This window comes from Homo sapiens, chromosome X (assembly GCF_000001405.40).
Source record: "Homo sapiens chromosome X, GRCh38.p14 Primary Assembly".
NCBI lineage: Eukaryota > Metazoa > Chordata > Mammalia > Primates > Hominidae > Homo > Homo sapiens.
The window spans coordinates 106624212-106639162 of NC_000023.11; the positions used below are offsets into that span (position 1 = coordinate 106624212).

General features: G+C 33.8%; 1 protein-coding gene across 3 annotated transcripts in view; it reads left to right on the top strand.

The window, feature by feature from the left end:
* The window catches only part of RADX (RPA1 related single stranded DNA binding protein, X-linked), a 67462-nt gene that overhangs the window by 12234 nt on the left and 40277 nt on the right, over window positions 1-14951 (top strand). For 2 of the 3 annotated variants that reach the window (NM_018015.6, XM_047442233.1), the window contains exons 3-8: window positions 879-1071; window positions 8414-8522; window positions 8721-8812; window positions 8919-9041; window positions 12332-12436; window positions 13549-13713. In NM_018015.6, the coding sequence (NP_060485.4) occupies window positions 879-1071; window positions 8414-8522; window positions 8721-8812; window positions 8919-9041; window positions 12332-12436; window positions 13549-13713 (787 nt within the window). The remainder of the gene's footprint in view (window positions 1-878; window positions 1072-8413; window positions 8523-8720; window positions 8813-8918; window positions 9042-12331; window positions 12437-13548; window positions 13714-14951) is intronic. The other variant, NM_001184782.2, reaches the window with a different exon arrangement.

The window sequence follows — 14951 nt, forward strand, 5'->3', positions numbered from 1 at the left end:
CATGTATACCCATATGCCTAGTCACTGGGAGAATCAACTACATGCTACTCAGGACCCCACTATATGCCCTTACATAGGTCTATCAGAGCATGCATAACCCAGTTACACATACCTGTTAATAGATTTGCTAATCTTACTCTACTGTGCGCTCCCTGACTGTAGGGAAGAAGTATCTAACAGTGCTTAAGAGTGCATGCCCTGTGGTCATATGAACTGAATTCAAGTTTCAGCTGTTTACCATTTCTTACCTTTATGATGTAGGGAAAATTATTTATCCTTTTAAAGCCTCAGTTTACTCATCTGTAAAATATGGATACTAATTGTACTTACCTTACAGGATTGATGTGAGGATTGAATTAGTAAAGGATTTACCTATGTTCCAGGCACATAGCAAGTCCTATATATATTTTAGCTATTATTATTAGGTACAATGTTTGATTCATCTCTGCATTCCAGGGCCTAACATAATCTCTGGAATATGGATTCAGTAAATGTTTAATGAATAAAGGAATGAATTACCCAAAATGTATATTCATCATTTAGAGAAAGGGTCTGAGAATATAACATCATTATTTAAGAAGAAATTAAGAATTAGAAAACACTTTACGGACTGCCTTTTAGGCCCAACTGAAGTTGTCTGTCACTGTATTTTAATACTGAGAAAAACTCCAAATACTTTCCACCTCAATACATTTCTCTATCTCTAATCTTTAGATGATCAATATTAGCAAAATTGACAACTGAATCATTATTAATAAATAATTAAAATTTAGATGTTATTTTCCATCACTCTAAATGATCACAAATAATATGCTATATATTATCTGTACAGATAAAAGTGACAAATATGTATGTGCTTTTACTCATTTTCTTTCTAGACCTTTTTGGAAGTTGCTGACAGTTCAGGCACAGTGTCAGTGATTATGTGGAATGCCCTGTGTCCTGAGTGGTATAAAAGTTTGCGGGTTGGTTTAGTTCTTCTGCTTCAAGACTATTCTGTTAAAAAGAGTTATCCATTCAGAATACAGCCTGTCCCCGTGGATCCACAGATCAAACTAATTTCTACAATGGGTTAAGTATTCCATGAATTTGTTGTCTTATCGCTGTTTTGTTTATATAAATTTGCAATGTACCATATTAGGAAAAAAGACCACAAAAATTACTGAAGCTGTTAGAACCTATGAAACCTTTAAATTTATTTGTCCATAAAATTTTCAAGCAATCACATAACCTAATAAATATACCTATTTATTATTTTATTTATTAAGAAAAATTATCTGAGACATTTATTGTTGATTGAAGAATGAGCTCCACTTGGATTGTACTTATTTTGTTTTATTTTATTTTTGGTCATATAATATTAAGTTAATAACGAATATATTTTGCACTTACTAGTAGGTGCTATCTAAAAAGAACTTCTGTTAACTTTTTGAAATAATTTCAGACTTACATAAAAGTTGAAAGAATGGTATAGAGAACTCCCATATACCCTTTACGCATATTCAACAATTACTAGCATTTACCTTTGCTTTATCATTATATATCTCTCTTCATACATATACATATCTTTACACACACACACACATACACACATATGTATGTATATATATTCCTTGTGATCCAGTAAGAGAAAGTGGCAGCCATCATACATACCCCTTTAAGCCTAAACACTTCATTAATATTTCAGTGTATATTTTCTAATAACAAGAGCATTCTATTACATAATCTGAGTACAATTACCAAAATCGGGAAATTTAAAATTGATACAATACTAATACCTAACCTATAGTCAGTATTCAAATTTTGCCAATTGCTGCAATCTTGAAAGGGCTTTTCCTAGTTAGTATTGGTATATTGACATCACAAATATTTTTGGACCATTAAGATTAATATATTAAATAATTGTTTTTAGATATGACCGTGATTTTTTCACTTTCATTTGTAAGAATTGTAGATTACATTGCTTAAGTTTAAATATTGTTTTTGGTTTATAATACCTTTATTCTGAACCTGAATTTCTGTGTATTCTAAATTCCCCAGCTAATCCATTAAGCTTAATTACTTAGAGAATATTCAGATAAAGGTAGCAGTTGTTCATTGTTTTCTTAAACTTGTGTTTATTTGCAAAAACCTTATATGATTATTTATTAAAATCTTAAGCGTTTTGCAGACATTGGTCAGATCTTGCTAGATGAAGAAGTTATTACCTAGGTAGTCTGGTACACACAGTCTATTACCTCATTAGTTTTTGCTATAGAAAGGTGAGGAACTAAACTGATAGAGATATTGTGACTTACTAAGAAAACACAGTAAAAGTTGGCAAGAGGACGCTGATTTACAGCATGCTACCTCTGCTATATAGAATTATAGGACCAGATTTTCATAATGGAAACTCTCTAAGGTATGAGAAATTATTTATGCTTTCAAGTAAGTAATTGCAGATACAGAAATTATTTTTATAAATGATAGCCTTGGTGATAATATATTTTAAATGTACCTTTTGGTCTTTAAAACAGTTTTACTTCTTAGTAATGTTAGCGTTGGTGATAATATATTTAAAATGTACCTTTTGGTCTTTAAAACAGTATTACTTCTTATTAATGTTAGCAGCAGTCTCTATTTTCTTCCTTATATTTTTGATAAGTAACAGGACTTTTGCCCTCTTTTTTTAGGAAGCAATAGACTATTTCTGTAAAGCACCAAGTAGTAAATATTTTAGGCTTTGCAGGCCATATGGTCTCTGTTTCAGCTTCTCAGCTCTGCCTTTGTAGACTGAAGGCAGCCATATGTATGTAAAGGAATGTATATGGCAATATTCCAATAAATATTTATTTACAAAAACTTGCAGCCATCTGCAGCCTGTAGTTTGCCTAGCCTACATGTGTAAGTGGATTACAACTCTGGCTGTATATTGAAATCACTTGGGGAGCTTTAAAGAGCCACTGGTGCCCCACCCTCAGAGATTCTGATTTAATTACTCTGAGAATGGGACCAAGGCATTGCTATGGGTTTAAATCTCCTCAGCTGATCCCAAAGGTACAGTCAAGGTTGGGAACTATGGCTTTATGATCTTTAAACATTACCTGCATGAAACTGACTAATGATCTTTTTATCCTAGCATTTTCTTTATTTTTAATTGACAAATAATAATAAAATATATTTATGGGGTCTAGTGTGATGTTTTGATCTGTGTATATACATTGTAGAAAGACTCAATCAACATATCCATCACCTTACCAAATTGTCACTTTTTGTGGTAAGGACATTAAGAATCTATTAGCAATTTTGAAATATATAATACATTATTATTAACTGTAGTCACCATCCAATGCGATAGATCCCTAAGACATTTCTGCAATCTGACTGAAATTTTGTACCCTTTGATCAACATCTTGTTTTTCCCTATCCCTCCCCACTCACTCCCCAGCCTCTGGTAACCATCTTTCTACTCTCTTTTTCTATGAGATTGACTTTTTTAGATTCTTGGAGAACATTATGCTAATTGAAATAAGCCAGGCACAGAAAGACAAATACTGTAAGATCTAACTCATAAGTGGAATCTACAAAGCTGATCCCATAGAAACAGAGTAGAAAGGTGACTATCTTTTTTATTGTTTTTATTTATTTATTTATTTATTTTTTGAGACAGAGTCTCACTTTGTCACCCAGGCTGGAGTGCAGTTGTGCAATCTCGGCTCACTGCAACCTCCACCTCCTGGGTTCCAGCGATTCTCCTGCCTCAGCCTCTCAAGTAGCTGGGATTACAGGCACACGCCATCAAGCCCAGCTAATTTTTGTTTTTTTAGTAGAGACGAGGTTTCACCATGTTGGCCAGGCTGTACTCGAACTCCTGACCTCAAATGATCTACCTGCCTCGGCCTCTCAAAATGCTAGGATTACACGTGTGAGCCACTGCACCTGGCTGGAAGGTGATTAGTTATCTTTTAAAGAGAAAAAAAAAGGCAGTTATGTAAATCATGTTAGGCACAGGAGATGCAAAAGTAAGTAATATACAGTCCTACTCTTAAAAATTAGTCTAATGGGGTGACAGCTATGTAAGATAAACAAATTAGAGTAAAATGAAAGACTAATGACAGTAAACCATATTAAAAATGTAATAGACAAAAAGGATAAGGAAATGAATAAAAATGTAATTGAAGAAAGAATGGACAGTAAAGTAGGAGAATGTGTTGCATGGGAGAAAGTGTTAAGCAGAGATTAGGAAAAATATCAGTGGAGTTTAAATGTTCTGAGCATTATAAATGAGAAACAGTATATAGTGGGAGGAGAGTTGGTCAGTAAAGGAATAAGGATTTGTGGTACCATCACTGCCTTCTAGGTGTTCATGTTGGAAGAGAAACTACTGGGGTCATTTATCTTGGTTTATTTTTCATATTTCCACACATAGTTCCAAGTTAGAACTAATATGTGAATTTTTTTTTTTTTTTTTGATACGGAGTCTTGCTATGTCACCCAGGCTGGAGTGGCGTGGTGCAAACTTGGCTCACTGCAACCTTCACCTCCTGGGTTCAAATGATTCTCCTGCCCGAGTAGCTGGGATTACAGGCGCCCACCACCATGCCAGGCTACTTTTTGTATTTTTAGTAGAGACAGGGTTTTGCCATATTGGCCGGACTGGTCTTGAACTCCTGACCTCAAGTGATCCACCCGCCTTGGTCTCCCGAAGTGCTGGTAATACAGGCGTGAGCCGCCGCGCCTAGCCAATGTAATTTTTTTAAAAGACTGAATAAATGGAAATCTATAAAGATGGAAATTCTATTGCAAAACAAAGGATATATTATTTGCTGGATGTGTATGGCTTTGTATATTGAATTTTGTACATTATTCTGTATACCTTTTACAAAATAGTACATAGCTGGCATACACAAATAATACACCCTTTAAAATCTTGAGATTTTTCAGACTGTATTACATAATGCATATTGATTGGATGATAGCAACAAGAATTTTTGATTTTGGCGGGCAGGGGCTATTTCTTTAATTCGGAACCCTAGCATTTTAGAGCTGGAAGGGACCTTGAATATAATTAAGTGATACTATGACAATGAAAGTACTTCGGAATATGCAAACTATGATGCAAGGTAATATTATGTAATACAACTTTGCTTGCTTATATATGAATAGACTGAAACTCATAAAGGTAAAGTGAATATTTCCTTTCACATGACTAGTAATAGGCAGAAATAGAAATAAAATATCTTCATCCTGGTTTAAGCCTTGTTTGCTACACAGAAAGTTCTTAGAAAAATGTAACTAACCAAGAAGAAAAAAGCCCAAATAGCTTTATAACTATTAAAGGAATTGAATCAGAGGTTTAAATTTTTCCCACAAAGAAAATATCAGGCATACATCATATTATAGAGAAATTCTACCAAACATTTAGGGAATATATCATTCTAAACCTATTCCAGAGACTAGACTAGAAAGTATATTCTCAAACTCATATTTTGCTTCCAATATAACCGTGATAATCAAAACCAAACAAGAATAGTATGAAGGAGAAAAATTATAGGTCAGCTTCAGCCACTAATATATAAACATATATATAGATATTCTGAATGGAATATTGGCAAACTGCATCATGTGTAAAAAAAAAATAAGTTCACATACTGTGACTAGGTTGCATTTTTCCTCAGCAATGCAAAATTGGTTTTACATATAAAAATCTGTGTCACCCGCCATTTTTACAAATTAGATAATGAGCATTTTAATAGATACACAAAAAGCTTTTATTAAAATTTTACAACTATTCATTAATTTAAAAAAGAAAATAGCAAGAGAAGGAAACTTCCTTAAACTAAGTAAGGGGGCTGAGCATGGTGGCTCATGCCTGTAATTCCAGCACTTTGGGAGGCCAAGGCAGGAAGATCACTTGAAGCCAGGAGTTTGAGACCAGCCTGTGCAACATAGTAAGACCCTGTCTCTACAAATAAAAAGAAAAAATTATCCAGTTGTGGTGGCATGCACCTGTAGTCCTAGCTACTCAGGAAGCTGAGGAGAAAGGATTGCTTGAGCCCAGGAGGTTGAGGCTTCAATGAGCCGTGATTGCACCACTGCATTCCAGCCTGAGCGACAGAGCAATACCAACAACAACTACAAAAAAACAAACAAACAAAAAAAAAAAAAAACACCTAATAATGGGTATTTACAAAATCAAAACCAAACGGCAAACACAATTCTTAATGGGTAAAAGTTAGATACATTCCTTTATAAAATGGGGAAAATGGATGTCTCCTATTATTACTATTTCTATTTAATGTTGTACTGGCTGTCCTAGCCAGTGTGAGAAGACAAAATGAATTAAAGGTATAAAGGTTTTAAAGAAAGGTGCAAGACTGTTACTACTCGCAAATTAAATTTTATACAGAGAAAAAATAACACAAAGTATTAAAAAAATAGGATTTATTATCCTTACCAAACTAATGCAGGAACAAAAAACCAAATACCACATGTTCTCACTTACAAGCAGGAGCTAAATGATGAGAACACAAAGAGGGGAACAGCACACACTGTGGCCTACTTGAAAGTGGAGGGTGGGAAGAGGGAGAGGATCAGAAAAAATAACTATCGAGTACTAGGCTTAGTACCTGGGTGACAAAATAATCTGTACAACAAACCCCCGTGACATGAGTTTACCTATATAACAAACCTGCACATATGCCCCTGAACCTAAAATAAAAGTTTTTAAAAATAAAAATTAAAAGTAATAAGATATTAGCAAAGCTACAAAAGAAGTCAACTGATTATGTATACTCCAATAATAAAGAGTTAGAAATTATAACTTGAAAACATCATTGACATTGTCAACAATAACTATAAGATGTCTAGAAATAAATGTAAGAGAAGATGTGTAAGACCTGTGTGGAGATGATTATGACACATTATTGGAAGACATTAAGAAAGCCTTAAATAAATAAGTAGAGATAAATAAACTGGGTAAAGATTGTATTTGCCACTACATAATCAATGAAGAATTAATATCCAACATATAAACAACTCTTGCAAATTTTTAAAAGACAATTCAACAATTCAATAGAACAATGGGCAAAAGACCAAGGCATTTCACAGAAGAGAATGCATATATGAACCATAAGTATATGAAATGTTGTTCAATATGATTAGTACTAAGGGAAATACAAAATAGGATCACAACAAATTGTCATATCACTAGATTGGCCAAAAGTACCAAATTTGACCATGTGCAGTGGCTCACACCTGAGACCTAAGTGCTCTGGGAGGCTGATTCTGGAGGAAGCCTTGAGGCCAGGAGTTCAAGATCAGCCTGGGCAACATAAGACCCCCCCATCTCTACCAAAAATTACAAAAATTAGCTGGACATGATGATTCTAGCTACTCAGGAGGCTAAGGCAGGAGGATTGCTTGAGCCCAGGAGTTCAAGGCTGCAGTGAGCCATGATTGTATGATTGTGCCACTACACTCCAGCCTGGGCAACAGAGTAAGGCCCTGTCAAAAAAAAAAAAAAAGAAAGAAGGAAAGAAAGAAGGAAGAAAGGAAGGAAGGGAGGGAGGGAGAGAGAGAGAAAGAAAGAAGAAAAGAAAGAGAAAGAAAGAAGAAAGAAAGAGAAAGAAAGAAAGAAAAGAAAGAAAGAAAAAAGAAAGAAAAAGAGAAAAGAAAGAAAGAAAGTTAGTTGACAATACCAAGGTTTGGAGAGGATGTGTATCAATGGGAATTTTTACACATTGCTGGTAGAAACACAAATAGGCTCATTACTTAAAATGATTAGGGATTATGCTATAGAGCTGAACATTTACATATCACATAATCCAGCATTTTTGCACCTACATATAATACCTTAGAAAAACAGTTGCCTGTGTGCACAGGGAGACACATACAAAAATTTTTAAACAACCCTATGTATAATAGTAAAAACCTGGAAATAATCCAGATGTCCATTAACACAATAATGGATAAATAAATTTTAGTTAATAAATTGTAGTATATTAACACACTGGAACATTATTCAGCTGTGGAAATGACAAGAAAACTGCTACATGCAGCTACATGGATGAATTTTATTAATATAATGTTGAGTGAAAAAAGTAGTCATAAAATGCAGAATATAATTTCACTCATATGAAGTTCAAAAACAAAGCCAAATAGGATTTTGTCTGGGCAAAGTGATAAAACCCTTTTTAAGTTAAAGAAATGATAGAACACAAAGTTCTCAAAGTGTGGTTAAACTTTTTAAACTGTGGTGGAGAGATAAGTGGATGTGATAATGGAGGTAGAAGAACACTGATAATAGTCTAGTTCTTGAGTTTAGTGGTGGGTTCAAAATGTTCAGTATACTATTTTGCTTTTTAATATATATTCATGTATATTCTTTGGTGTGTATTAAATAGCATATTAAAGTAATATATTTATTTTTCAGAAATCTGCCTGAATCTTCGAGATCCCCCAACAAATATAATTATCATTCCAGAAAAGCAGGTGAAACCAGAATGGAGACTGCCAAAGCTAAATCACCGATTTACCACAAGGTAAAATAGTTTCTTGTAAAATGTCTTAAATATTAATCTTCAGTCTTGGTTACTGAAAAACAATGCATTATAATTTGCTCAAAATCTACCCAGAATTAAGCTATAGCAATTATGTAGATATACATTTTCAAAATAATTGTAGAATGCTTTTTCACTGTTTAAAAATAAAATATTAATTTAGTGATTTTACCTTTTTAGGTCAGAACTGGATGATATGCCAGAAAATTGCATCTGTGATGTTATTGGCCTTTTAGTTTTTGTAGGAAGGGTCCAGCGGTCAAAAAAGAAAGGTAAGCTTTTAAAATTGAAAATCATAAAAAGTATTTCAGTGAATAATTTTGTGTTCATATGTATATAACAGTTACCTTCATTTATTTTAATATTCTATCCATATAGAAAACCGTGAAGATTTTTGGTCATATCGCTGGATTCACATTGCTGACGGTACTTCAGAACAACCATTTATAGTGGAACTGTTTTCAACATCGCAGCCAGAAATCTTTGAAAATATTTACCCAAGTAAGCGATTTTTAATATTTTTATATTATGTTTGGAAGTAGGAGAATTAACTTTAAAAATGTAGAGTAAACTGACTTACAGAAGTAGGGTGACATTGAGTTGGCAATTCAAGCAGTCTGACAGCATGTTTAAATCTTTTCTATATTAATATCGTTTTTTATAGACATTAACAACCCGTTGGTTGTCTGTTCAGAATTAACTTGGGATTGAAACCAGTTTTTCAGAAAACAGGTCCTCTTATCAATTCTCATTGTAAAAATTCCACGCATTAAAAAAATCCTTAAATTTCAATAAGACTAAAACATGGGCAGTCAATTCCCTTTTTATACATTTGGAAATTGATTAAGTAGACCACATTAAAGACATCGAAGACTTATATAGCATTAATTGGTAGAAGATTGGTGGACTATGTAATTACATAATAACAATGGTAAGTATGGTTCCGGTCGAATATTAAATTATTCAAGTAAGTTGGTAGTGTTATTTATACCGGCTGGTCAATATTTTACTTTGGCTTACTTTGGCATTGACTTTCTCCCCTGGATTCATTCAGATATAAAAGTATTTTTTCCACTAGTTTTATTTATTTGAAATTATTTTAGGTTTGTCCTATTACATATTACATATAACAGGCTAGTCTTCAGATCTATTATGATAAGGAAAAAAGTATAATACTTTTCAGCAGTTTCAATGAATATTTCCTTATTTAAATTTAGAATATAAAGCTATTGTAGTTAGGGGATGACATTTTATTTTTTTCCAAATAATTACATGAATAAACACTAATTGCTATCTGTGTTAAATGCTTGGCCAACATTGAAGAAACTCCCAATATTTACTACATATATGTGTGTGTGTTTGTATATATCTATCTATCTATCTGTATACATATATATATATTTGAGATGGAGTCTCACTCTGTCGCCCAGGCTAGAGTGCAGTGCACAATCTTGACTCACTGCAACCACTACCTCCCAGGTTCAAATGATTCTCTTGCCTCAGCCTCCTGAGTAGCTGGGACTATAGGAGCACACCACCATGCCTGGCTAATTTTTATATTTTCAGTAGAGACGGGGTTTCACCATGTTGGGCAGGCTAGTCTCGAACTCAACCTCAGGTGATCTGCCCACCTCAGCCTCCCAAAGTGCTGGGATTACAGGCGTGAGCCACTGCACCTGGCCTATATCTATTATTATTACTTTTTTAACCAGCAATAAGATAGACATTGTAGAACACCAAGAGACCTAGACACTATATATAGGGCTGTTCTGCTGCCCCTTTATTCTCTATACAAAACAGTATTATACACCTCTGCTTTGTTAGATTCTACCCTAGGCTTGTGAGATTAAATTTTAAAAATATATCTGAATAGAACCAAACCTCACCCCAATTTATGGGGGATGGAACAGAAAGAGAGTTTCGGCCAAACCAAGGCATGGACTTCCAAGGTGAGTGGGCTATTAACTCTGATATAACTTCTTTTAGGGCATAAGTAATTGGCAGTGATGACTTCTGGTGATAATCCTATTGCCTCAATTTAGGTGGGTTTTATTGCCAGCTTCCTTTTTGTTTGTTTGTAACCACTTTAAACAACAAGCTAACAAGAATTTTGGATAAAGATTTCTCGCAGGAACTTTGCCAAGCACGCATATTGTATTTCTTGTGATAATGTGAAATGTATCCTTCTAAGAAACGTATATTCGGATCTTGGTGAGATTTATTCTAGTATAATAGTTGACAACAGTCACAATTTGTTTTTATCTTTTGACCAAAAGTGAAGGAAAAAATCATTAAATTAATGGTGAGTATTAAGGGGGCTTCAGGCCCAAGAAGGGGAGCATGGCCAAAAGTCTTCAGGAATAATACCAAAATTCTTTGGTAGTATGACTTTTTTTTTCATAAGAAAAGTGAAGAACTAAGGGGAAGTAATGTTGTGTGTTTACCATGTACCAGATGCTTATAGATATTATCTCATTTTGTACTCTCAATTACCTTTTGAAGAGTTGATGTTGTTATAAATTTTCAGGTGAGAAAGCAAACTTCCAGAGGGGTTAAGTAATTTCCTGGATTTCATATAGCTAGGAAGTGTTAGATCTGACTCTCAGATTTTTAGTGGCCATGAATTTAGAATTAGAGGTTTCTTTATTTTTTTCTAAATTTATTTTATTGTTGTAAGAACACGTAACATGAGATCTACTGGCTTAACATATTTTAGAGGTTTCTTTAATATTCCTGTATCAACACCTTTAGCCATTAGTATTCATATGTTTGTAGTTTTTGAAATAATGGAAAAATTAAGATAATTCTTAATATAAATTAAGGTAATTCTTAGCATTTGAACAGATTTTCTTCATTTGCATTGCTACAGAATAAAGAACTTAGTAAATATGAGATGTAGCAAATGAATGTACAGTTGTGCTCTGGAGAAATTTTTATTCTCAAATGAGAAATTACTTTGTGTGATTATAAGAATTTACATTTATTTCTTCATTTCCTAGTTTGTAAAACCGTAAGTGTTTTGACATATAATGAGTTAAAATAAAAAATAATGTTGGATTAATGAAACTATAATAATTAGATAGCCTGTTAGGTAAAAACAATTGATAGTTGTTGAAAGTAGTTGAAATCTGAAGACATTATACTCTCATTTTTAGATATTCTTTTTAGTCTATAAAGTTAGCAAGGTGAAAAGAAAATAAACAGATGATATAAGCCCTGCCATTGGCCTTAAAATCTAATTAAGATAAATACATAAAAGATAAAAAACAGTTGCATAAGCAAATACCAGTCAATAATATATAAGCCCTATCTGGTGGAAGGAGTTAGAGTAATTCAGAGTTTAGTGTTAGTTAGGGTTAGTCAGTGGAAGTATCATGGAGAAACTAAGCTTTTTTTTCTCTGTTGGAAATCACTGTTCACACTCAGGTGTGGGCCCAGTTAAAATGACTTGCACTCTTTATCTGTGCAACAAACAAATGACTTTAGTTAGTTGCAGCTGTTGTACTTTCTTAAAAAAAAGGGGCCTCTCGCAAAAAGCAGAGTAGTGTTAAACCCTTATTGTTCCTAGTGTGGTCCCAGGACTGGCAGCACTAATAATTGCCTAGGAGATTATTAGAAATGCAGAATCTCAGGCCCCACCCTAGACCTACTGAATCTGAATTTGCATTTTAACATTGGTACCATGTGATTTCTTTGTGCATTAAAGTTTGAGAAGCATTGTGTTAGATCCTGATCTTGTTATGTCCTATTTGAAATGGAAAAGTAATTTCATAAGTGTTTTTGTTCTCTAGTGGCATATTTTGTGTGTACACAGTTGAAAGTTGTCAGAAATGACAATCAAGTACCTAAGCTGCTTTACCTCACCACTACAAATGAGAGTGGAGTGTTTATTACTGGTGAGTAATTTCTTTGTGTATATTATTAGAAATATATTTTCTCTTCCCTAGAATCCTTCAGTACATATTAACTTTTATATAATAACATTCAACTACAAGATAGCTTTATTTTGACTTCCTTTATTACTATAAGAGTGTTTTAGCAAAGAATTTTTGGCCTGTGAAATACGTTGCTTATGGATTACTTACGAATGAGGCAATGATTTTGTGACTCAGTGGAAAATTGCATTTATATCCTTCAGTCAACTTTAATTCCTGCTTGGCATAGAATGTAGATAATCATAAATTGCTTGATAGATTGAAGACCTGGTTAGGCCTGGTATCATAATATGGATTCTGTTAACAATATTTTAAAATTCTAAATGAAAACAAAACTGAGTGTCAAATTTTAGCCCCAAGATCTTATGTTTTATTTATATAACAAGAGAGGTCTCATTACTTGTCTGCAAGTATATTGTTTTTCCCTATTCCCTCCAATAATAGGATCAAAACATTAAAGAAAAACGTTTCCAAATGAGAGAGTGAGGAAGTAGTGTGGATTGGGTGTTTACCAGATTGTTACCATGTTGGTAATTAAGAAATTTGTTAAAAGAAGGGTCCTAGGAAAGGTGTAACATACATCTTTGTCAATGCATATCTTATTTTATAAATACTATCAGATGTGAATATGGCACTTTTAAGTATGCTTTAAGAACATAAATTTAAATGCTGAGCCATATTCATAGGAAGTTTCATTCATACATGATGCCATAATTTCAGGTTAATTCGTAGTTTAAAAATCGGTTATTTCAGAAGATGTCAACCATTTGGATGGTTAGAAAAATTCAAATTATTAGTTTTTCTTCTTCCTGTGATTTCTAGCATCTTATAGCTAGCTACAGTTTAGTCCACTTAAACTCTAATACACAGTGTGTCTGATTTTCTTCTTAGGATTTATTTACTGTCTTTGGATAATTATACATAGTGAATAAGTAAACTTGACTGTTTTTTTCTTGGTGATAAAAGAGGGATTGTTTTAATAGTAAACTGTTTTTACACAAAAATTTGCATACAGATTGTTACAGTGACATTTTTATTTCTCATTTTTTATGATTTACCCTTCCCGCGAGGAGGTCATAGAGGCCAGCCGTATACGTATGATGCCAAGGTAAAAAACTTTATTCAATGGATTAGAACAAAGTCTGATTCCGGGGAACAGAAGAATATGGTTATTGGTGGATATTACCCCTATCCACCAGTGCCAGAGACATTTTCCAAGTATAGTAGTTCTATTAAAGGTACTAATGTAATTGCCAGTCCTTCTAAATATGTTTATATTTTATATGTATGGCTTATGCTATTTCAATTAGTCATCTTTATTCTTTTCTTTTATGGGAGTGATCTAAAGTTTAGCAACATTCACCGATAATAGCTTTGTCTTAATGCAGATCTAAAAATATATGTCACGTATTTTCTATATAGTTTTCCCTATATCTCGCATGGTGCTCTAAAGATTAATACTTTGATTTTTATCAGACTGGAAGAAAAGAGAAAACACAGATGATAACCAACTGGAGATATAGGTTGAGTATTCCTAATCCAAAAATCCGAAATCTGAAATGTTCCAAAACCTGAAACTTCTTTTTTTTTTTTTGAGACGGAGTCTCGCTCTGTCGCCCAGGCTGGAGTGCAGTGGCGGGATCTCGGCTCACTGCAAGCTCCGCCTCCCGGGTTCACGCCATTCTCCTGCCTCAGCCTCCCATGTAGCTGGGACTACAGGCGCCCGCCACTACGCCCGGCTAATTTTTTGTATTTTTAGTAGAGACGGGGTTTCACCGTTTTAGCCGGGATGGTCTCGATCTCCTGACCTCGTGATCCGCCCGCCTCGGCCTCCCAAAGTGCTGGGATTACAGGCGTGAGCCACCGCGCCCGGCCTAACCTGAAACTTCTTGAGTACTGAAGTGACACTCAAAGAACTACTCATTGGAGCAGTTCAGATTTTGGAATTTTGCATTAGGGAAGCTGAACTGATAAGTATAATACAAATATTCCAAAATAAAGAAAATCAGAAATCTGAAATATTCTGGTCCAATGTATTTCAGAGAAGGGATGTTCAACCTATAAATATCTTTATTTAATGTCATTGAGATCACATCTGACCTTGGTGTAGATCTCAATTGCTATGATGTTATACAGAAAGACTAAAGATATCTAAAGGAGACACTGGGTAACTTGATATTCAGAGACTGACAACTGTATTATGCGACTCTTGTGGAATGATATATATTGTGTTTAACACAATTGAGTGCTATCTTTAAATATGAAATGATGCCAAAATAAATGAGATGCTGAATTTGGAATTGAAGTACTGATGAGAAGCCTACTATTAATATACTTTTTAGTAGAATTAATATATGACAGTTGAAAAGTTTAGCACAAGCATGTTCTTTTTTAAAAAGCTATGAGATAATTGCATGGTTTTGGAAAAAAAGAGAAACTTTAAAATGCGGACCTATCATCATCTAAATATTGGCAT